Genomic DNA, 24051 nt, shown 5'->3' on the forward strand with positions numbered 1-24051 from the left:
CAGCCTGGCCAACATGGTGAGACCCCATCTCTACTAAAAAATACAAAAATTAGCCAGGCTTGGTGGCAGGCGCCTGTAATTCCAGCTACTTGGGAGGCTGAAGGAGAATCAATTGAACCCGGGAGGCAGAGGTTGCAGTGAGCCAAGATCGCACCACTGCACTCCAGCCTGGGTGTCAGAGCAAGACATTGTCTCAAAAAAGAAAAAAAAAAATTATTCAGGAAGACCAACGAACTGTCTCTCAAGAAGCTTCCGTAGTAAGTTTTTATAAGAGCACCAGATGAAGAGGTTGATTTTATTTTTTAGGGGTCATCTGAAACAAGTTTTAATGGTGTCTCACATTTTGTGGGTCAAGAATTTGGGCAAGGAGCAGCTGGGAGGTGCTTCTGTTCCATGTGGCAATGGCAGAGGTCGGTCACAGGCAGCATTCGGCCGGTGGACGGGCTGGTCTAGAGGCTTGGTTTGCATGTCAGTGGGGATAGCTGGAAGGCTGGGTCCAGATAAGAACATCCACTGAAGCGCCCAGATATGGCCTCTCCTGCCATGATGGCCTTAGGGGAGTTGGACTTACGAAGCGGAGCTCAGGGCTTGAAGAGCAGTGTTCCTTCCAACAAGACAGGAACTGCATGGCTTTCTGTGACTGGCCCTAGAAGTCAGTCCGGTGACACGTACTTTCGTCATCTCTATTGGTCAGGGCATTGACAAGTCCACCCAGATTCAAGGAGAGGGACCCTGTTTTAAAATCCAAAACTTTTCCAGCCATACCGTATATAAATTCAAACACTCTAAAGGTAACATGCACTGAGACTTGAACATACACATTGAAAAAGGCCTGCTTCGGGACTCGGAGCCTGAGAAGAAAGAACCAGAATGCCTGCCTTTCAGAAAATCGGTCAAAACCAGACGGGACACAGCAGAATGGTATTATACAGACTTGGAGTTTAGAAATAGGCCATGAGCCCCACTATCACCAAAAAAATATCTGAACTGACAAGGCCAAGATTTGTGTCAATAGACCAATCACTTTTCTTTTTTTTTGAGGCAAGGTCTGGCTCTGTCACCCAGGTTGGAGTGCAGTGGTGCAATCTCAGCTTACTGCAACCTCTGCCTCCTGGGCTCAAACGACCCTCCCACCTCAGTCTCCCAAGTAGCTGGGACTAGAAGTGTGTGCCACCACACCTGGCTAATTCTTGTATTTTTTTGTTATTAATGGGGTTTCTCCATGTTGCCCAGGCTGGTCTAAAACTCCAGGCCTCAAGGAATTCACTCACCTTGGCCTCCCAAAGTGCTGGGATTACAGGAGTGAGCCATGGTGCTGGCCCCAATCACTTTTCTTTATAGGGCTTTGGCCCTTAGAAATTTCTAGAAGATATTTCAATGAGGCTGCTCTCTCTTGAGGAGCAAATCTAATGCTTTCATCATCTCCAACTCATCCTTTAGAGTTTACAGTTTACACTCGCTATGCCTCAGAGTTTTTATTTATATATATATATATTTATTTTATTATTATTATACTTTAAGTTTTAGGGTACATGTGCACAATGTGCAGGTTTGTTACATATGTATACATGTGCCATGCTGGTGTGCTGCACCCATTAACTCGTCATTTAGCATTAGGTATATCTCCTAATGCTATCCCTCCCCCCTCCCCCCACCCCACAACAGGCCCCAGAGTGTAATGATCCCCTTCCTGTGTCCGTCCATGTGTTCTCATTGTTCAATTCCCACCTATGAGTGAGAACATGCGGTGTTTGGTTTTTTGTCCTTGCAATAGTTTACTGAGAATGATGATTTCCAATTTCATCCATGTCCCTACAAAGGACATGAACTCATCATTTTTTATGGCTGCATAGTATTCCATGGTGTATATGTGCCACATTTTCTTAATCCAGTCTATCATTGTTGGACATTTGGGTTGGTTCCAAGTCTTTGCTATTGTGAATAGTGCCGCAATAAACATACGTGTGCATGTGTCTTTATAGCAGCATGATTTATAGTCCTTTGGGTATATACCCAGTAATGGGATGGCTGGGTCAAATGGTATTTCTAGTTCTAGATCCCTGAGGAATCGCCACACTGACTTCCACAATGGTTGAACTAGTTTACAGTCCCACCAACAGTGTAAAAGTGTTCCTATTTCTCCACATCCTCTCCAGCACCTGTTGTTTCCTGACTTTTTAATGATTGCCATTCTAACTGGTGTGAGATGGTATCTCATTGTGGTTTTGATTTGCATTTCTCTGATGGCCAGTGATGGTGAGCATTTTTTCATGTGTTTTTTGGCTGCATAAATGTCTTATTTTGAGAAGTGTCTGTTCATGTCCTTCGCCCATTTTTTGGTGGGGTTGTTTGTTTTTTTCTCGTAAATTTGTTTGAGTTCTTTTTATTTTTTTAAATTTATTCAATCATAGAAAGGCGACGATGATCTATGAATGATGATCTACAATGATCAACAAGGACCTCAAACAGTGATCATCTAAGGGAGCAACAGATTGAAAAGCACCTCCCATCAGTCTCACGCCAAGGCAATGGTTCTCAACCCAGACAATTCTGCCCTCTTCCACACCTCCAGAGCACATTTATTTGGTAAGGTCTAGAGACACTTTTCATGGTCACGAATGGGGAAGCAAGGTTCTACTGGCATCTAGTCAGCAGAGGCCAGGGACACCGCTAGGCATCCACTATAGGAAGCACAGGACAACAGAGCACCCACAATGCCACATGATCAGCGCAGAACGCTATGAGCACCGAGGCTGAGAAACCCTGTGCTGGGGCGCCCGCTCTAATGGAGCCGACTGCCAAGCAGCTCCAAACTATTCTCAATGTGATTTCTCTCTATTTTCGGACCATGTGTGTACAGTTTAATTTTTATGAGTTAAATGCACATATGCCGTGGCTCCAGTGAAATATCTCATTTTTAAAAAGAGTTCTCCTACTAAAAGAAAATCATCATTCTCAAACTCCTTTTTTTTTTTTTTTGGAGATGGAGTCTTGCTCTGTCACCCAGGCTGGAGTGTAGTGGCTCGATCTCGGCTCACTGCAACCTCTGCCTCCCAGGTAAAACCATCATTCTCATTATGACACCATCCTTTAACTGAATCCTTAGGAGTCACTTTTAATTTAGAATCCCCAATCTCATCAATCATAATAAAAACAAACAGAAAACAAACCTTAAAGGATTCAGTATTCAGTGGTTCCCAAATGCTCTGGTCCTCCGTTTCTTAAGATAATGAGCTGAAATGTTTATGCATGGATGCAGGCAAACCCCAAGTTAGAGAGTAACAGCCACTCTTTCAGTGCTGTCGTCTGGCAGAGGGAGAACAGCAGCAGCAATGACACAGACAGGGTGTAATCTGAGCAAACACACTCTAGACCTCTCCACCCATTCCTAAGTCAGCACAGATGCCTGCCTGCATCTCGGTGGAGTTACTTTCTTCCTTGCAGTAATACTCTCTCTCACACACCCTGCTCTGTTTGTGGCAGTCATGCTTTGGTTAACACTTACAAATCAAAAGCTGTCAAGCTACCAGACAGAAAACACCATTTAGAAACTGTTGGGTTCACCTTTGGAAAACTCCTGATAGTCATTTTTATTGGGTCTCTTCCACCACAAATTTGTAAAGCTATTTCCCATTTCTAAACATTAATTGCTACTTTCCTCTTAAAACGTGGTTTCAATGACACCAATACATGGCAAGTAAAACCACAATTCCCTCAGTGAAATAAATTACTGCATTGCTGGGTTGGTGCAAACTGCAGTGCAGAACTGTTAGCAGGTCAGGCCTGTTAATGGTGTGTGATACATTGCTATTCTCTCAGGACAAACATAAATACATTTTACACAATTTTTTGGCTTTGCCTTCCCCTTTCCCCCTAAGCTGTTGGTCCAGGAAGTAGAATCTAACTGCCCCACAAAGCAGCTGGCCACCAAGAATGGTCCTCACTAGTCAGTGTTCCTCCCGAGAAACACATACTCTCTAAGAAATCTGACCACAGGGCTCATTTAATTTTTTAAATGACTATTAATTTTAACTCATCTCAAAATACACACTCTAGAAGTCCCTTGATTCTAAAAGCATAGGAAGCCCCGGTAAATGCCAGTTTCCAGCACCTGTCTGCTATGGAGAAGAGCAAACATGACACAGGAGCTCCAGGACACTCAGGAGCAGGCTTCAAAAGCGACAGGGTGGCACCAGCACTTACATGCACTACATGCCTAAAACAACATCAGCTACCTAAACGCTCTGAGCACCTTGGCTGAGGGGCAACAATTAGGGAGAAACTTTCAGAAGGCACTGGATTACTCAAAGCAGACTCCCTCCTATTACGATAGCAGCGCCAATGACTACTTACTAAATTCCAGGTATGCCTTACATAGGTTCCCTCATTTAATCCTCCCAACAATTTTATGAAGTAGGCATGATTATCCCCATCTTGCAGATGAGAAGACTAAGCCCTGGAGAGAAGAATAATTTGCCTGAGGTCATAGAGCCTGGGAATGGGGAGCAGGGCCTGGACCCTGAGCCTGCCTGACTCTTAAGGCTGGGGCTTCCCACCACACACCACACATTCTGCCCAGAATTCAGTCCTTCCTTACTGTGGCAAAATGCAGCTGGGAGGGGCTGTCTCCCAAGCATTCTCTTCCTCCAAGGAACCTGACAAGTCTCTCTAATGTTTCTTAACTGGTAAAATATTTAAAGGGGCTGCATTATCACCAAACAAAATCTAACCTTGTGTATTTAATCATTAACATTTTTAGGCTACAGAAAAGGCATGCTCTTTAGATTCAGGGTGAGCTGGGCTGCTTGTGAGGTACAACTGGGATCCAGAAAAGACCAGAAGATACAGACTGAGACACCACTGAGGCCTGCCTAGCTGGAGGAAGAACTTGGAGACCCTTAACGGGGTCAGGCCTTGTAAAGAAGGGGGATGAAACTGGGGTGATGATTGGGGATCTTATCTAGGCTGTGGGAAAACAGCATGTGTAATAGGGGAGGAAATCATCTAGAGGAAAATAGAGAAGATACAAATGGAAGAAAAGATGGAACACATCAAGATTTCTCTGACTTGCATTGTAAAAATGGAAGCAAATTCTTACAAAATAACCACAAACTTTGATTCTTATACTTCCACTCCATATAAAACTGTACTTAAGTGATTTAGACCTTATTCAGGGAGTCATTAACAAATGCATGTATACTATTTGACTTTGCAGGAAGAAAACCACGAATATGAACCAATCTTCTTGCTTATTAACATTAATTTTTATAGCGGATTGGAATCTTACGAATACAGAACTCCATCACATTATTTTCATTTTATAGCAAGTTGAAACCCCATTAATACAGAATTCCATCATGTTTCAGCATTTAATTTTGTAAACATGAACACTATTGTTTAGTCTCCATTAACTTTCTTTCTGCCACTATGGTTATAGACCCCCATAGATTGCTTTAAAAAGAGAAAGAAAGAGAGAGAGAACTATTGCATTGAAACTATGTCACATGCAATAAGTATACAAATAAGCAAAAGGTGTGCCTTCATCCACAGGCAATGCTGAAACTCTTCTGCACTAAAGAGTGTGCATTCTAAAATACCCTCCATAAATGCTTAAGGCTCATAGCTGGGGAAGGTGGGCACTCCCACCTCACTTTTGTTTATACTTTCAAGAATCCTGAAGAGAATAATCAAGTTTTCCCCACATGTAAATGAATGAATGAAACTAGATTTTCCAAATAAGCCATTTTTTATTAACACATATGTATTCTTAATTTGTTTCTAATTTGCATGGCTTTGCACACAGTATATTTTGGGTTCAAGTAAACATTTACCATTTGCTCCAAAGCACTACGCTAGCACCACACAACAGGACAAGCTCATAGATAACTATATCAGTGCCAAAAAACAGCCCCCATGAGAAGTTCAAACACCAGACTATAAGGACACTACCACCAAATCACTTCCTAAAGGCCTGGTTTTCCCCAGAATAACAAAGTAACGATTAATGCCACTGTGCAAGATGAAATACACTCTTTTCATTCAAGCTCTAATAGCCTAGACAACAGTCATTCTTCTTGCTGCTTTGGCAACTGGCTCAACTCATTGCTGGCCTGCAGAGAGCCTGCCAGCTTTAGATCAATAAGTCCTGTGATCTTTAATACAGAACAGAAGCCACAACCCAACTGATTCTTTCTGTAGTCATCAATCAGGGTTTGACTCCAGCTTATCTCTTGACCCACCGGGAGATGGGCTGTCTGCCACACATCCCCTGGAGAGAAATGAGAAGGGTTGTATAAAGCAGGCACCGGCAGAAGTCAGGGAAACCAGTGAAAGGGATTTCCAGGAGGAACTGTGTTCTCTGTCCCAGAGGAGGCACACAAATTCCACCCAAAAATGGTCAGCTGTCAAGGATTCCAGAGGAAGCACACTCTCCCCTAGATAGCAGGCCAAGTGGTAAAGCCTGAAGGTCAATTTCAAGAGACACATCCTCAGCCAGGCTGGGAGGAGGGCCCAGAGTGGGCAGATGAAACCTAGCAAGCAGCAAGCAATAAAGTCTCCGCAGATCAGAGTTTGCGAATTTAAATAACATTTCTTGATTTTGCAAATTCTCTTTAGCAACTTTTAATCTTGAATTAACCTCCTATAACTATTCTAAATTTTAAAACTCCCTTGTAATTGTAAATCTCTTCTTGTTTGTGAATTAACTAAGAAGTTAAATAAGACAGATAAACAAACAGCAATGCTTTGAGTTACCAGCCTAGAAGTGGCTGTGTGGCTTACCATCCTGGTTTTCTTTTCTTTTTTTTTTTTTCTTTTTGAGATGGAGTTTCGCTCGTCACCCAGGCTGGAGTACAGTGGCGCAATCTCGGCTCACTGCAACCTCGTCTCCTGGGTTCAAGCGATTCTCCTGCCTCAGCCTCCCAAGTAGCTGGGATTACAGGTGCCTGCCACCACGCCCAGCTAATTATTGTATTTTTAGTAGAGATGGGGTTTCACCATGCTGGCCAGGACTACCCTGGTTTTCTAAGTGCAGCCCACTGTAAGACCTGGTTTCCTTGGTTGGGGCCCATGGCAACAGAGTTGCAATTCTCCAAATGGAGTTGGACAGTGGCAGAGACCCTGTGTGCAGGACTTCATCCTACTCCTGTTGCTACAGTGACCAAACGTGACCTTCCAGTCACACCTGCAGCATTCTATACGTACACACACACACACACACACACACACCCCTCTACAAACAGAGGGTAAGTCTGATGAGCTCCAAGTCACACATCCCTCTGAAAAGGCGGGGACTGGGCTGCAAAACGAGGGTAGGCTCCTAGCTGCTGGTAAGGAAAGGGGCAACTTCAAGCCTATTTTTTCCACAGTCATCTTGATTCTTCTGGGGAAGCTGAGCTATTGGGGCCATCGTCCAACTTCAGAGGGCACCACTCACACACAATCCAATGTGAAAGGAGCCCCATCTGCTGAGCAAAGTGGCAGTCCTGCCTCCTACCCACCCCCAAACCTGAACAAGCCTGTCTTCACCACCAACTTTAAGGAGCCAGTTTGATTTTGCTACATCTCCATTTTCTAACCTATATATAATCTCAAGATAGCCTCAACTACATACAAGTTATTTGGCAACACTTCTACAGACTTTTCTGCCTACAAATATCTCAGAGAGAGCACTGGATTAGGAGTCGGAAGTCGTATCTTCATTTATGTCATTCATTCACCAAACAAATGCATGTTTAAGTACCTAATACAATGCAGGCACCAAAGGTATGAAGGTGAACAAACAAGACAGACAAGAGCCCCTGGCCTCACGGGGCTTTAGCCAAGTTATTCAGTGTCCTAAACTGAAATTAAGGGGCTTAGACAAGAAGCTCTGTGAAGTCTCTCCCAGCTTTCCTATTCTCCACTCTCTGCATTGGCGCCAAGAGGGGACTGAAGCATTCTGGAATGTTCCGCCTCCCTGAACAGATGCTATTTTAACTCCACTTACATATAGACATATAGGTCGGGTTGCGGCCAGGTGACTTCTCTCCATTCTGCCAACCATAAACTACACATTTTCATCCCAGAGTTATTAAACTAACCGGTGCCCTAGTCCAGAAGGCCCACTGGCATGCACATCTCAGGCTCCATGGCACAGGGACCCTCATAGCCCCATTCCTTCCAATGAGGAAATCTGGTTCCTTCAGATCCAAACTAAAGAAAAACAGGAGCAGGGCTGCCAAGCCTTCCTCACATGCTGCCTGGGTTTGTTTATTTCTTCTTCATCAACTCACATCATTTCTGACACTGCACTTCAACATCCTGAACACAGCCAGGGAAAAAAGCTTTTAAGAGGCACTGAAGTGCAGCCAACTTCTGATTAGCCACAGTCCTGAAGGAAAGGAGCAGCACGTGGCCAAAGCAAGAGGACTCTTGCATCCGCGTAGAGAAGGGCAAAGATTCACGTACAGGATACGGAGAAGCCTTAAGCGATCAAGTGCACATTCTTCCCTCTCCACGCCCCACCCCCAGCAATTCCCTTCAGACATTTCAGGAGAACCCCTGGCTGGAGTCTTGCCTTCTGGGAGTTTCTGAGGGCACCGCATCCAACTGAAAGGGAGGTGTCCGCAGTCTCCATCATCAACTGGCAGGGGAAAATACCAGCTCCTGAATCAATGGGGGGAACAGATTTGTATAAGCACGATACGAACCTAAGCTATGATTAAATGTACTTAACAGTGGGTAGGGTCTTCATGAGCACAACTCAAGAGAAGTTTTTTTTTTCTTCAGAGCTAAGTTGAAATACAGTAAGCAGGCCTGGCGCGGTGGTTCACGCCTGTAATCTCAGCACTTTGGGAGGCCGAGACAGAAAGATCACCCGACGTCAGGAGTTCGAGACCAGCCTGGCCAACATGGTGAAACCCCATCTCTACTAAAAATACAAAAATTGGCCGGGCATGGTGGTACGCGCCTGTAATCCCAGCGACTCAGGTGGCCGAGGCAGGAGAACTGCTTGAACCCGGGAGGCAGAGGTTGCAGTGAGCCGAGATCGCACCACTGCACTCCAGCCTGGGCAACGAGAGCGAAACTCCATTTCAAAAAAACAACAACAACAAAAAACAAATATAGTAAGCAGAAATGTATGCAGTAGAGAGGGAGAAGCTGAGGACAAGAAAGCCATCAGACATGAGACAGTAAGGGTGTGAATGAAGACGGACATGGGAAAGGCTGAGCCCCAGCAAGACTCCTGACGAGGCAGTGGATGCCTTGTCCTTTCAGATGATATGCACAGGCCCTCGAAGTTAACCAGCAACTGCCTAGGGCTGTGTCAGACACTCTAAAAGCCCTTTCTATCCTCCCCTCTCCAGCCTCCCTCACTTTCCCTGTCTCCCCTGGTCACTTTGCTTCCCTCCCCACAGAAAGAAACCAAGCTGCTTTTGGGGAATGGTGCCAGCTGGTGGCTAGTACAAAGAACTGTTTCTCACCACTACTTCTCTCTCCTTTCTCTTAAAGAAACCTTTATTGCTCTCCTCCTCATCCTTTTTCCTCTGTTTCTACTAATTTTGATCACAGAAAGCTTAATTTCAAAGTTAGAATCCAGATTCCCCACTTCCCTACAAGGAGACCTCGGGCAAGTCACAGGACCTCTCTTTGCCTCACTCCCTCTCTGCAAACATGAACAGAAATACCTGCCTACTCAGCAGGGCATTTATGAAGCCCTCGATAGCTACTTCCACTCTGAACAGAACTGCATTCACCTGACAGAAGGCACAGCTCTGACTGACTCTCTGCTAACTCTACCATGTGCTTTGACACTCCGAATAATGCTCAACTCAAAGGAATTTGTCCGATGACCACTATGCTGCAAATAAAACAAGTCAACAGCAGAGGACCCACAAGCCTTCCTCAGAAGCAAAAGACTAAGTCCCAACTCTGCAGGAGCTCATTTCTCTGGTGGATTTCTTCATTTTCAGATGGAATGCCATGTTCCTGAGTAGCTGGCTGAGTCCTACATCAGGACTTATAGCAACTAACCTCTCACTGTGGCAGGAGACACCATCTGTTCCTGACCACAGTGCCCTGAAGGGTTACTGTGCCTCCCGGCCCCTCCCTTGGCACACTGGATATCGAGCTCTCGTTTTACCAGGAGAGACGTGGACAGGCCCTGTGTGGCTCTGCTGATCCCAAAATGCCATCTTGCTGTGATAAAGACCTCAAAAGGGCTAATGAAATTATCTCCTCTGCCTTTTATTCCTCAGTAACAACCACAAAATTAGATAAAATGACCCCCTGCTCCTCTAATTTAAGGCCTACTTTATTACCTTCTACCCCAATTCTCTCTCTTTTAAACGGATATGAGACCCTGAACACCCACAGGCCAATGGGATTAGTAATTGCTGGCTTCTTCCTCCTGGCCTGTTCTCCAGAGAGAATGTCTCCTTCCCCCAGGGTGGGGTCACAATCAGTTCAATCTTCATGCTTCAGAGACATCCCCTTTGAACAAGATCAGATGTTTCCCCACCCCTCCCTGGTGCTCCGCTCAAAGGAGCAGCAGCCCCTTCTCACTCAGAGTATTGGCGTCAACTCAGCCAGAAAGGCAATGGCAAAAAGAAGGAGGTCAGCATGGTTAACTGTCCACCAGGCTAAAACACAGGCCCACTCAAACCAGCACCTTGGGAGGGCTGGTCACCCCCATAAAATGTTAAGTGCACTTTGAACCCGGGAACAAGGAGAATGAGAACTATTTTCCCCAGCCTGCTGGGCTGCAAGGAGAGCTTCAGCTGTTTGTTTTCTTTTTCAAATTGTGGCCATAAAGGGAAGAAGGACTTCTCTGCAGTCATGTCAAGTAAGTAGATGAAATGCAGGCGAGGTGAGCCCTGAAGCTTGGCCATTAGGAAATAAAGTCAGGAAAGATAAGCATCAATGGAGGAGGTCTGAAGGGAGCCAACCAAGTCTTCCCCAGATTTGAAGAAGAAACCTGAGAAAACAGGATTTCAGAAGCCTGAGACATTGCTCAATATAAGAATGATTTATAGGGAAAAGGGGGAAAAGGAATCATAGAACGCAGAATATTTACTCTTTAACATTAAAAAAGATGGATGAGGACTTTTTTCAGTCTTTTGCCTATTTGGAAATATTACTCCTATTAACTACTTATCCAAAGGACTTCCTTCTTAAAAAGGCCCATAGTGTTAAGAAGATGCTAAGGAACAGGAAACAGTCATTTCTTAACTGAAAGGGGACATGATAATGATAAAACAATACCTCCTATCTTTTTGTAAGGGAAAAAGTCTAAGATATTCAATTTAAAATCAACTTTTCCTGGAAACAAGTACCTGTACGTTTTCCTGAAATCAACAACAAAACCCCTACAGTAGGTAAGACAAACTGGTCACCCAATCACAGCTGACAAGCTACCTAGTCCAAGTAAATGGTGGTTCCTAAATTATGCATTGATTGTGCTCTGGAAATGGAATAGAGCAAACTCTTCCCAGAGATGTCAATATATGCATGCAGCTTTGCAATGAAACTTGAAAGGCTGTTTCAGAGACTTTGCTTCCTCTTTAAGGAACTACAACTAAAGATAAAGGCTTCACCTGAAAAACAAAAATCCACAAAGGCTGAGGGAGGATGTGCCATGTATTAATCTTTGTACTAATACCTGGTTCCCAGGCATTTCAGCAATAAAGGAAACTGCGATGCAGAGCCCAGTATGCTAATGTCACTGGAGTCCCAGATCAGGAGACAAGCTGCTGTGTCTGCTAGTTGCCTTTGCTCTGATTTCTCCCAAATGTCAACCCTGGACACAAGGGGCCCATGTTGGACAGTGTCTTTGGATCAAGGCCAATCTATAAAAGCAGCTGTATTAAAAATACACACACACCCTGACATACAAATTCAACTGATAAGGCTCTAGCAGTCCCATCTTCAGAAATAGTAAACATTTCACTGAATGAAAACGCAGTACCTTATTAACAAGTCCAAAACACGTATGACAAGTTCAGAAGCTTTAAGGAGATTCAGGAACTAAACCACTTCTTGGACTACTTGGGGTAGTCAAGATTCAACTAGCGACCTCTGTGAAGTGAGCCTGAACACACACCTCGTGAGCCCCTACATGGAGCCGGGCAGCTCAATAACTTGAGGGTTTGACCTACTTCATCATGGTTGCTGCTTTTCCTAACATGATCAGAACTGCATTGTAAAACAAGAGGGGGTCTGAGGATCAGATATCTCCTAGAAGCTCGGTAAACTGCAGCTCACTAGGAAGTGGCCGGCACTCTCCCTGCATGGGGCAGTGTGGAGACCAGACTCCCCACAAATGCCCTGCGGCAGCTTCTTCAGGGATGGTGTGACACAAACATTCAGTAACATCTCAAGTTCCAAAGACTGCTAAAACCCATGCATATTTTAACATCTGGGCTTTTTCATTTCAATGTATTTTCTTAGCTTATTTTTCAAGTATGATAGACGAACTGATTCCATGGAGACTAGACATTCTTGGGCAAAGCTGAAATCCTCCTTCTATCGAACCCCTGGGAAACTTGAAGACCATGAAGAGGGTCAGCTGGGAGTCAAGGTTCCTTTACTGCCTTGTCTTTCATTCAATTCTCCTTCAGGAAGCTGTACAGCTGGGACTCAGCACCAAGCAGAAGAAACCACGGGGAAGTGACTACTTTTACATGGCACTTACTGTCTGGGAACCTCTACTAGGTTGTGGAAAGCACACACAGAAACCAGAAGACAAATTCTTTTGCTTTAGTGCTGCAAACACCCAGGATGGCAACTGGAAGGCTGAACAATGTGTAGTGTTAACGCAAAAGCAGAATAAGGCGGGGGCAAAACCTCAAGACCACATTCTCCTAGTGACAGTAGTCTGGCTAGATTTAAGTGCCACCCCAGGCATCAGAGAATTCAGCCACCCGGCAGCTCCTGAAAGGACTCAACTCTCATTTTGGCTCCAACATTCAGGTGATCCACTGCCCTGAGGGTTTCTACTCCCAACCCACGGGATAATGCGAGATCAACTCAAGCCAATCCGGGTACCTCTCAAAGCACCCAACTTACTAAGAAGAGTAAGGAAAACTGAAGTGCACTGATTTAAAAGTGTCGTATCAAAATGATTTAAACCTAAACTGTGTTCTAAAACAAATGCTCAAGCCACTGAGGCATATTTTAATCTCCTTCAGGTTGCCCATTGGGAAAGTCTACTGTTTGTTCCCTATTGCCTTTACGTTTAGATAATGCTCAATCCTATGGTGGTCTGCATGCCAATGGCAGGGTTGCCTGGGGCTTCCAGGGTCTAGTTGACAACTCTGTGTCTCTCCAAGGGAAGCCAAGGGGTCTGGCTGCTCATGGCCACAGGTTGCCATTTAGTGCATTACTGCTCTGTGACCTAGCATAACTTACGCTACTTGGGATGAACGTTCTTCCACTTATTGAAAATCTGCTCCATGCCAGAAACCATGCTAGGTGGGAGATGGTACCAAAAGGAACTCACAGACAAGAGGAAAAAGATGTGCACAAACAAGTACGTAAAGCTCACCATGACAAGTCCAATGTGTTGTGTGAGCACAGAGAAGTGGCCATTCATTTTGCTGCGAAGCAAAAAAAGGTTACACTCTGAAAAGCCTCTCATTCAGACAGTTGATAAACAGGTGAAATTTGGGGCCAGGTGTGGTGGGTTATGCCTGTAATCCCAGCACTTTGGGAGGCCAACGCAGGCGGATCACTTGAGGTCAGGAGTTCAAGACCAGCTTGGCCAATATGGCGAAACCTTGTCTCTACTAAAGATACAAAAATTAGCTGTGTGTGGTGGCACATGCATGTAGTCCCAGCTACTCAGGAGGCTGAGGCAGGAGAATGGCTTGATCCTGGGAGATGGAGGTTGCAGTGAGCCAAGATCACGCCACTGCACTCCAGCCTGGCCTACAGAGCAAGACTCCATCTCAAAAAAAAAAAAAAAGAAAAAAGAAAAAAAGAAATTTGGGCTGGATCTTAAAGGAGGAAAAGGAATTCTAAAGCACTGACCTAAACAGAAGAGAAAAGGGTGTTGAAACAAAGGAAAGAGGGCTGAGTAATGAGAAAGCCAGCCATGCCCAGGAGCAAGCCAGCAAGGTAAACATCTTTATCAGGCCACTCACAACAGCCACAGGGACCAATTTACACCTTTCTTAGAGAAGATGCTGCCCCACATTTAAGGATTTTCTTTCTATTGAATGAGAACATCGGGTGGTTATCAGAGTGCATTGTCATATCTAGGTATAAGGACAACCCACCTGGCTGTGAGCAGTCCCAGGTCCCTCGCTTGCATGAGGTGCTTCTTAACAAAATGCAGAAACCATAGGCCAGCTGTCAACTCAAGAGTCTGATTCCCAACTCACCTGAAAAACAATTGGAAAAAGTCATTTTTATTATTAACGGGAGTAGCCAGTCTTTCGATGGTTCCAACAGAAACCTGCAGTCTATGGCTAAGCTCTTTGGTCTCAGAGCAGAAAACAAGTCTAGTGTTACCTGGCCAAGGGGCTGGATCAAACAGACCTAGGTGACAATGCTAGTTTACAACTCAGTGACAGGGTAACTGCAGCCAGGTAGCTAACCTACCTGTGCTTCAGTTTCCTCCCCTGCAGTACCTACCTCAGAATGATTAGGAAGGTCTTCTATATGCCAGGTACCTTCTATATGCCTGGAAATGCCTGCATAAACATGTGATGGGTTCCCTGCCCTCAGGGAGCTTACAGTCCACAAAGAAAAATAAATAGGTCGCATTCACGACTTTGATGCAGCTGATAGGAGCTGAAGGGAGGAAAATACAAGGGTATATATGAGCCTTTGCAGAGGCACCAGCTGATTTCAGAGGCATCAAAGGAAGCTCCTCAGAGCAAGTGAGGGCTAAAATGAGGAGGTGGCCAAACTAGAGGGCAAGCAAAGAGCATGCCAGGCAAAAGGAACAGCAAGACGGGGGGGTCCTGGAAGCAAGGACACAGTTCACAAAAGAAAGAAGTTGGTGCCCACTGAAGCATTTCAGGTCACAAGAGGCCTTCTTGCAGCTGCTTTAGGAGAGTTTCGACTGGACCTTAAGGCTAATGCAAGCTCTGACACAGGAGAGGAGACTGTGATGGTTCAGACAGCTTTCAGCAACACCAGAGAGGAGAATAAACTGGAAGGAGGCAACGACACCCCATCTTAGCTGCCCCAAATGCCACATCCTGGTCGGTTGTGAGAGGACAGAAAGACAACCCTCATGGTCAGAAGTGAAGCTGAGCTCCCTCCAGCATCTCCAGTGAACCACTGCTTCTGAAGCCCAGGTTCCTCCAGCATGAGGTGGTTCCTGCCAGGCAGACACCAGCTCAGTGCCACTGCCTCAGGGGCAGAGTCTGCCTGCCTCAACACACCCCCACCAAATGCCTGGGTGGCACCGTGTAGTGCAGCAGCATCACCTGGGAACGTGTCAGAAACACAAAGTCTCCACCATCCCAGACCTAGGGACTCAGAATCTCTGGGGTGGGACCCACATTCAGTGTTTTCACAAGTCCTCTGGGTGACGGTGATGCTTGCTAAGGGCAAGTCCTGGGGGACAGAGTACAGAGATGGCCCAGCCTGCTAACCCAGCAGCAATTCTGTGCTCAAGGCCTCACACTCCATAGTGCTTTGAAGCCCATTTCTGTTGTAAAAAATACACAAAGCTGGTTTTTACGCATGGCACCATTCCTAGTCCTGTGGACCAATGGGGTAGGGGACTGAGCCACCTTCAGGGTAGGGAGGTGGAGATGGGAGTGCAGGCAAGGCCCTTCCTCTTCTCCTGGGCCCTCATCTGTTTTAGGACAGGCAAAGGGAACTCGAGCTTCAAGGAAAGAGAATGCATGCTTCTCCTTTTAGACATTTCTCCTCCCACCTAGATACAGAATCTGACCACTCCATAAATGAAACAGTGAGGTCGCCCTGGAAGGCTCCATGTGGTTTTATTAGAGGGTCAAGTTTCTTCCTGGAGAGTGAAATGAACTCTGTGGTTACAAAGACACCAAGGCCCAGGAGCCATAAAGTAATTCAGGATTCAGAAGAGCCCAGTTTATCTGCCTCTTTCTTTGAATATCTATCTTCTCCTTACCAAAAGAAAAAAGATTACCCCTCCCCCCAAAAAAAGCATATTTCTGTAAACAGCAGACAAGTTCTCACATTCTTGTTTGTGTTTTTATAGCTCTTGCTTTCTTTACAAAAGGGGTTAGGGGGCGGTGGGGAGGCCAAAGCATCAAAATAGCACTCAGGTCATGAAGGGAGATGATGCTCCACTCAGTTCCCAGGGCCTGCCCCCAACACCAATGCCACCGTGAGGGTGGCTGTGCTGCAGGAACTCACAGGAAGTCATGCGTGGTATGGGGGCAGTGAGGACACTGTATTCTCAGTGCACCTCAAGTAGTGCTGCAGAAAACCCAACTGCCACCCCAGGTTTGGGCAGCACACTGTGTTTGCATGCTGCAGCTCTCTGGCTTCCCCACCTGCCCCTGTGCCTATGGTCCCACGCCTCCAAAGGCCTTCCATGGCCAAACACACCGCCACACCTGCTAGCCCTCAACGATCATGGCTCTTCCACCTGTCTCTCCCCACTAGACTGTGAGCTTTCCAAGGGGTGTAATAAGCATGTGTTGAATAAATGACTGAATACATAGCCATATGGACTCACCTGGAATAAGAGTTTCAGGCCTGCATTCCATCCCCTCACCCTTTCCAATCCAAAGAGGCAAAATGATTTGCCCAAGGCCGCAGAGCAAGCTAACAGCAAAGGAAGGTCAGGGAGGCAGAACAGACAGTTCTTATCAATTTCTGCCTTTCACAGGCTGTGTTCCCATCTTTCCTGAGTACCATGCCCCCTTGAGGACAAAGACATTTTATTTGTGATAAGAATGGAATCATTTTTTGTGTGTTTCATTTCAAGAACATGGAGGAACATCTTATGAATCTTAGAATGTGGGGCACTAAGCCCAATCTAGGGACACCAGGGGAAGAAGAGTCGGGAAATGGCTGTGAGCCGTGGAGTGGGTCAGTTCTTCACAGACATTCCCAGAGTTCTGGTCCCTCGGGAGTGCTTCTGTGTAAGTCCTCTGTCGGTTCTGGTTTACTCCGACAGCAGAGACAAGAGAATCTCCCAACCCATCCCCACTCTGTTCTCAAAACATACTCCACCACTTACACAAGCTTTGGCTTTGGCAGCAGAATGCCCAAGTTCAGTTTCTTTTTGCCAGCCAGAGGCTGAGAACTCTGCAAATGTAATGACTCTTTTCAGATACGACAGAGAAAGCATGCACTAATGCACATTACCTAGGTGGCATGCAATCTCAGGAGAGTCAAGCCCTTCTCTTCAAGTCCTCTGGGAAAGACGCCCCCAACACTCCCACCGCCCCCTCTTCCCCCAGGGAAAAGGGATGGTTTCTGCCGCTGGCCAAGCTCACCTGCTAAGCAGGTACAGAAAATGGATCATTTTCCAAGTCTTGGATTTAGCTTCTCTCTCACAACCAAACTGACTTTAAAAAACAAAACCGGCCAGGCACAGTGGCTTACGCCTGTAATTCCAGCACTTTGGGAGGCCCAGGCGGGCGGACCACGAGGTCAGGAGATCGAGACCATCCTGGCTAACACGGTGAAACCCCGTCTCTACTAAAAAATACAAAAAATTAGCCGGGTGTGGTGGTGGGCGCCTGTAGTCCCAGCTACTTGGGAGGCTGAGGCAGGAGAATGGTGTGAACCCGGGAGGCAGAGCTTGCAGTGAGCCGAGATCGCGCCACTGCACTCCAGCCTGGGTGACAGAGCGAGACTCCGTCTCAAAAACAAACAAACAAACAAACAACAACAAAAAACAACCAACCAACCAAAACAATCCTAGGTACAATTATGGTGTTTAGTCTTAGTTTTCATATATAGATCACCTGGCTTTTCATTACAACTAGTATGTGAAATGGCCACATTAGAAGTGTGCCAAATGCATCGTAAATTATATTAAAGTTCCCATCACACACACAGACACACACACACACACACACGCGCACACAAACACCAATTAAATGAATGGGAACAAGTTCTGCCTAGTGCCCTCCCAGGCATCCTGTGCTCTTCTTGAGCTGCCTGGACACCTGGTGCCTGAGGCTGCCGTCTGTGGCCCTGCCTCCTGCTCTGCCCTCCTTGAAGAGTGCCCCACACTCCACCCTATCAGAATCCACTCTTGCATACTCTGATCCTGAGAAGCATTCTATTAAGTTATTCCTGTTAACGTATAAATCACAAATGCATTGCCTGTCCTCTGTGTGCTTACACGTCTAATAAGAGGCTTAAAGGGAAACACTTCACCCAATTTCTCTAATGGTAGAATTGTAAGTACAACAGTAAGTGAATTCCACCTTTCGGGTAAGGAGCTACTTCTATATCCAGCTGATCCCCCCACACTGACCATTTCCTACTTCATTGGTTTCATAAGCTGACTTTGCCCCTAAGGTAAGGCTGAGATGGATCCTGCATCTTTAGGAATAGAGGTTAATTTTCATACAATTGTGGAAGGGCAAACTCCTTAACCTTCCAATTCACCTGGATCAGAATCAAGCTGGTCTGTGGAGGATGGGGCCCCTTCTTCATCCATTTCTGGTCATCCATTACTTAACAACGCTCATTATCTCCAGTGTCTGAACCAAAGTAGGAAAGAGTGGGAAAATCACTATCGAGACATTCTTAAAGACTTCTCTACAGAGGCCCAAAGCTTATGTAGTCCAGTATCTTTGAGCACTTAATAATCAGTGTCTGTAAAACCTTCCTAAAAATAAAGGCTTCACAGAACTGACTTCTTACACCATTAACAAAGGCCTCTCTGATTTGGCTCCATCCAAGATAAGAGCCTCTCTGTAAAAGCAAAAGCATGTATTAAGATAAAAAGTGAAGTGGATCCAATGGGACAGAAGACAGCCCTTCACAAGCAAGTATCTAGGAGGCCAAGAAATAAACAGGCAAGGGTGTCCCTCAGACATGGCCAATATCACAAGCTCAGACAGACAGGTTTCTAAACTGATACTCCTCTAAATTGGTTTTTCTAGAGCCTTCCTGATCATAAGAACCACCTAGAAGCTTTGTTTAAAAGACACAGATTCCCAGGACCCACTCCAGACCTATGAAGCCAAAACCCCGGGTAGGGTCTGGTCACATATGTCTAGCTAGCACCTTAGCAGAGTGTCAGGCAAGTTTCAGAAATAATGCTCCAAATGAAACAATAGGCAACCTTTTAAAAGCTTTGTAATCGCATAACCTTGAAGTTATAGGGTATGTGGGAAAATGCAGGTTTAATGGAAGGAAGTTAGAGCCTTCCTAATCTAGTTAAACTTATGGAATATAACCAACATGTAATGAGGAAATCATTTTAACTAGCTTGGGGGGAGGGGGGGAAGCCTTCCCCTATACCTTTACCATATCTCAACTGGAAGAGCTCATAACCTCCCTGCCCTAAAGGATTAAAGGCATCCCTGCACAGTGGCTCCCAACAGCTATTAAAGGCCCAAATGGAAGTGCCAGGGCTGAGGGCTCGCAGTCTCATCCTGATAGAGGCCAGCCCTAAGTAGCAGGTGACCAACTTCAAGTCAGACCTCACAGGCCCTCCTGGCATGCACGGTTCAGCCCTGACATTTCTCAGCCGCCAGATGCCTATTCCATAGTCTCTTTCATGCTCCAGTTTAATGTGAGGCCTTGCTATTCAAAGTGAGCTCCACGGGAGTAGCAGGGGAAGCATCACGGAGAGAGCTTGTTAGAGATACAGAATCCTAGGCCCTACCCAGCCCTGCTGTATCAGAGTCTGTATTTTAACAGGATTCCAGCCAATTCTTGGGCACAGTCAAGCTTGAGAAGCCCTCCTGATGGGGTAGGGACTTCTACCCACAACTCTGGAACATCAGCCTCCCCACTCGGGCACCAGCCTCTCAGAGGCCTTCCTCCCTCACACTGTTCACTCAAGTCTTGTCAGTGCTGGTTTGTCTTGGGGCCAGATCACCATCAGCAGGACCCAATGAATAGCTGACAACCCAAAGCCCAGTTTTTAGGAAGTTAAAAGGAGGCAATAAGGGCCGGGCGTGGTGGCTTACACCTGTAATCCTAGCATTTTGGGAGGCCGAGGCAGGTGGATCACGAGGTCAGGAGATTGAGACCATCCTGGCTAACATGGTGAAACCCCACCTCTACTAAAAATACAAAAAAATTAGCCAGGCATGGTAGCAGGCGCCTGTAGTCCCAGCTATTCGGGAGGCTGAGGCAGGAGAATGGTGTAACCAGGGAGGCGGGGCTTGCAGTGAGCCGAGATGGCACCACTGCACTCCAGCCTGGGTGACAGAGCGAGACACCGTCTCAAATAATAATAACAATAATAAATAATAAATTAAAAAACATAAAAAAGGAGGCAGTAAGTTCTGATTGTGTCTCACATTCTCATCTGGCTCTAACATCTGCCTCCCTTCGAGGGCAGGACTATAGACCTCGTGATCGTAAATCAGCAGAGACAATCCAAAGTCAAACAATACCATGGAATGCTGGCTCTTTGGTTCCAGCACAATGTTAATGAGGTCGAGGTCACGGGTATGATTAGCTTCCTCTGTATCTTGGCACAGACTCCAACCCTCTGCCCTCCGGCCGCCTGCAAAGGCTGACGCACCCTTGGTTACTAAGAGGACTGGAGGAGAATGACAAGGGGAGGCTAACAGAGCAGCACCAGTTAATGACTCAAAGAACCTGAGTGGCTGACGGGCTGCATGTATCAAAGAATGACTTGTGGCCCAGAGGGAAGGCTGACAAGACAGACGACCAGGTCAGAATTCAAAACTATCTGGACAGGCCAAACATGCCAGAACTGAGAAAGCTGAAATTTCACAAGAAGAAATGAAAGTCTCATGATCAAGGTTTCAAAAATCAAATATACACATCCCAAACTAGAGGAAATCTAATTGGATGGCAGTTATTAAGTTTTTAAAATTTTTTAAAACATTCAAGTTTTGTTGACCAATATGGATATTAAGAAAGCCAGAAGCCTCTTAGGACCAGAAGTCTAGTTTCCAGACCAAAAGGAGCAGTGGTTCTTGCCTAACATGGCTGGTCAGACTATCCTAAGAGGCCCCCCAGCCACCTGTCCACACAGGTGTACACACAAACTCTCACACCTTCCCACCACCACCACCATTGGGGTTCTTATTATTCAGTGTGGCCTCTTCACCCATACTGTCCCTGACTACAGCTCTTTTTGGCTTGGTAACATAGTGTAAACATTTCACACATCAGCTTAGTTCCCTCTCATGCTGCCCTTTCTTTACAATACACTTAAGCACAAGCTGGGAAAAACAAACAAACAAACAAACAAACAAAATGCATAAATAGTCAAGACAACCTAAGCACACCCACTTACCAAAAGGATTCAGATCAAAAATGACTTACAGTCACCAGTTTAAGCCGGCACACTATGCTACGAATTACAGCATGAATCCATGCAGAGTCAGTAATTAAGTCGGTAATTATGAGTTTTCACTGCAGAAGAACCCTGAAAGGCCCACTGTAAGAAGGAGCAAATGAAAGAGTATCTGTTTAGACATACCTCTCTAGAATGTAGAATCATCTTCTAAGAACGGACAGTTGGCCATTTTAAAAAAAAAACAAATGTGATTTTAGATTGTTTTTAAAGTTGTGAGCCATGTTTTTCTTACGTATCTATTTAATATACAAGTGTTAGTCATTTACAAATACAAAAACACTGCTTACTGGTAAGTTTGTAATTCCCAGACTATCCAGTCTGTTATTTTTAATTCAGAAAATGTGTTCTCTATGAGCAAGAGAAAGTTAATTTTTTAAGAAGTTATTTTGCCCTTAATAAGTGTGTGCCATGCACCACTTATCTGAAGATTGAATGAGGCTCCTGTGAATGCAATTACAGCCTTCCTTAAACAACTGGCTAAATGCCTTAAAACTAGAAAACATGTGAAATTCAGTCCAATTGCAGCCTGCCCCAGGAGAAAGGAAGCTTGAACTCCAGGTGCCCCGACAACACAGCACAGTGTGGAAAGAAAGAAAATGCTGAACAATAGAATCAGGAGAGGAAAAAGAGTCCCTCTTAATTTTCCGGGCATGTGGGGAGCTTGTTGCTAAAGAAATATTTAAGATCTCACTGCTGGTTAAGGTTCAACTGAACAGTGAAATTAAAAAACAAAAAAAAAATCAAACATGCCAGTACAGCACTTATTTAATTCAGTATTTCTTATCAATCAGGTTTATTTCAGTACTTCTTATCAATACAACAGAAACACCTCTCAAATCACACTTAAAATGTTTATGAAAACATACCAAACATACCCATTATAAGGGGTGGGGTCTTCCCTATCATTCAGAGGAAGCTGCCCCATTCTGGATTTGGGTTGCAACCCCCAGTCCTAGTTACATTCCTGCAGCCTTCCAGTATTTATAACTATATCAACAATGAGTAGGAACGTCAGTTCTGTTTAAAGACAGGAACTGCCTTACAAAGGATGCACCATGGATATCAAGCAATGTATGATGTTGTGACCAAAACCACTGATCCAGTTTTGTACAAAAACCAAAATACTTCCCCAGCTCTTTAGTTCTCATTTCAAAAAGTAACATACTACTTGTAGAAAATCTGAGAAACAGAAAAATAAAGAAAAAAAATTAGTCACTCATAGCCCCATTAAGATAACCAGTTAAAATTTTAGTCTCTGTCCTTCCAACCCTGTTAAGCAGGCAAGGATGAGGTGAGGTGTTATTGCTGGTTACACAGACTAACAATGATTAATCATCCCCACTGGACTTACCCTAAATCCACAGCAGTAAGAGGAGTAACGGTTGTGCCTGCAATTCAACAAGCATTCACTGGGGCCTGCTTGGCACACTCTCATTTATGCCACAAATGAATGAAATGCAAATTAACACCAGTAGCCCTTGAGGGCCATTTGGTAACCTCAAAAAAGAAGGTAGATAAACCTCATCCCTGGTGGACATGAAAACAAGAGTTAGTTATCCTAGTACAGAGAGTAGGAGAGCCTGGCCACCCTCTCTAAGGCAGGGAAGGAAATGTTTCAGAGGAAGGGTGTGCAAAGCAGTTGGAGATGAAGACCTGGGAACCACACACATGTGCAGCTGCCCATTAGCAATGCAAGGGTTCCTGGGAATCTGTGTGCTTTTAGGACCAGAGAGATTCAGCCCACAAGGGAAATGTTCTTAGTCCCACAAACAGGAAGAGCTTTAAAACTGTCAGAACACCCTAGTTTCCATACATCAACCTGGGCTACTATCATCCACCTATTACCCTTGTGCAGTCAAAGGCCAGACAACCTGGTTACGTCTAGTTGAACCATGCTCTGTGCTTAAGGCACAAGGAAAGAATTGTTTCTACTGCTGATGTCACCTCAGCGTTAAACATTGTTCATTATTAACCAGCTGAAATATTCTTCTTTCAAATACTATAACTGGGTGCAGGTTTCCTTGCTTATTTTTTTTTAAGGTGAAGAGTTGTGAAAGTTAGTTTGACTGAACTTCCAAAGTTCACCCCCAAGTAAATACCTTGGAAGTCTTAAATAAAGTTTGACAAAAATATTTGTAAAATAGTCTCCATAAAACCACTTAATCATTATAACATGTTATTAAATCAAAGTCAGAACAAACCCAGAAGAAAAATCCAAATACACTGAGGTTCTCCTTTCTGGACCTGCCAACTGTCAAAATCAAAGTTGGGTGTTTCTCCTGATCTAGCTGATTAAAGTTTAGGAAAATGTGCAGATAACACACCTTTTTAACCGTATTCAATATTTTGTAGACATACACAAAACTAGTTTACATTCTCAGCAAGTGAAGTTCATCTTACATTTTCTTAAATATATTTATTGTATTTAAGAAAATGTACAGTATACACACACACACACACACACACACACACACACATATATGCTCAAGCTGCTATAATAAAATACCATAGATTGGGTAGCTTAAATGACAAACATTTATTTCTCACAGTTCTGAAGGCTGGGAAGTCCAAGATTAAGGTGCCAGGAGATTTGG

General features: G+C 45.0%; 1 protein-coding gene across 6 annotated transcripts in view, besides 3 other annotated features; it reads right to left on the minus strand.

Moving 5' to 3' along the window:
• The window catches only part of LHFPL2 (LHFPL tetraspan subfamily member 2), a 163543-nt gene that overhangs the window by 132776 nt on the left and 6716 nt on the right, over positions 1–24051 (minus strand). For 5 of the 6 annotated variants that reach the window (XR_007058567.1, NM_005779.3, XM_047416606.1 and 2 more), the window contains exon 2: positions 14259–14363. The exons of the other annotated variant lie outside the window; for it this stretch is intronic. The gene's annotated coding sequence lies outside the window, so the exon portion shown is untranslated. The remainder of the gene's footprint in view (positions 1–14258; positions 14364–24051) is intronic. 6 annotated transcript variants of the gene reach the window in all.
• Positions 8358–8557: a silencer, noted in NCBI's record as "fragment chr5:77922186-77922385 (GRCh37/hg19 assembly coordinates)". NCBI's record gives its function as "represses an EF-1alpha promoter that drives an FKBP-Casp9 reporter gene in an ReSE screen in K562 erythroleukemia cells {active_cell/tissue: K562}" and the evidence as "EXISTENCE:reporter gene assay evidence [ECO:0000049][PMID:32094911]".
• Positions 14841–15342: an enhancer, noted in NCBI's record as "H3K4me1 hESC enhancer chr5:77928669-77929170 (GRCh37/hg19 assembly coordinates)". NCBI's record gives its function as "activates a minimal SCP1, AML or CMV promoter by ChIP-STARR-seq in primed H9 embryonic stem cells {active_cell/tissue: H9 hESC(primed)}" and the evidence as "EXISTENCE:reporter gene assay evidence [ECO:0000049][PMID:30033119]".
• Positions 15343–15842: an enhancer, noted in NCBI's record as "H3K4me1 hESC enhancer chr5:77929171-77929670 (GRCh37/hg19 assembly coordinates)". NCBI's record gives its function as "activates a minimal SCP1, AML or CMV promoter by ChIP-STARR-seq in primed H9 embryonic stem cells {active_cell/tissue: H9 hESC(primed)}" and the evidence as "EXISTENCE:reporter gene assay evidence [ECO:0000049][PMID:30033119]".

This window comes from Homo sapiens, chromosome 5 (genome assembly GCF_000001405.40).
Source record: "Homo sapiens chromosome 5, GRCh38.p14 Primary Assembly".
NCBI classification, from domain to species: Eukaryota; Metazoa; Chordata; class Mammalia; order Primates; family Hominidae; genus Homo; species Homo sapiens.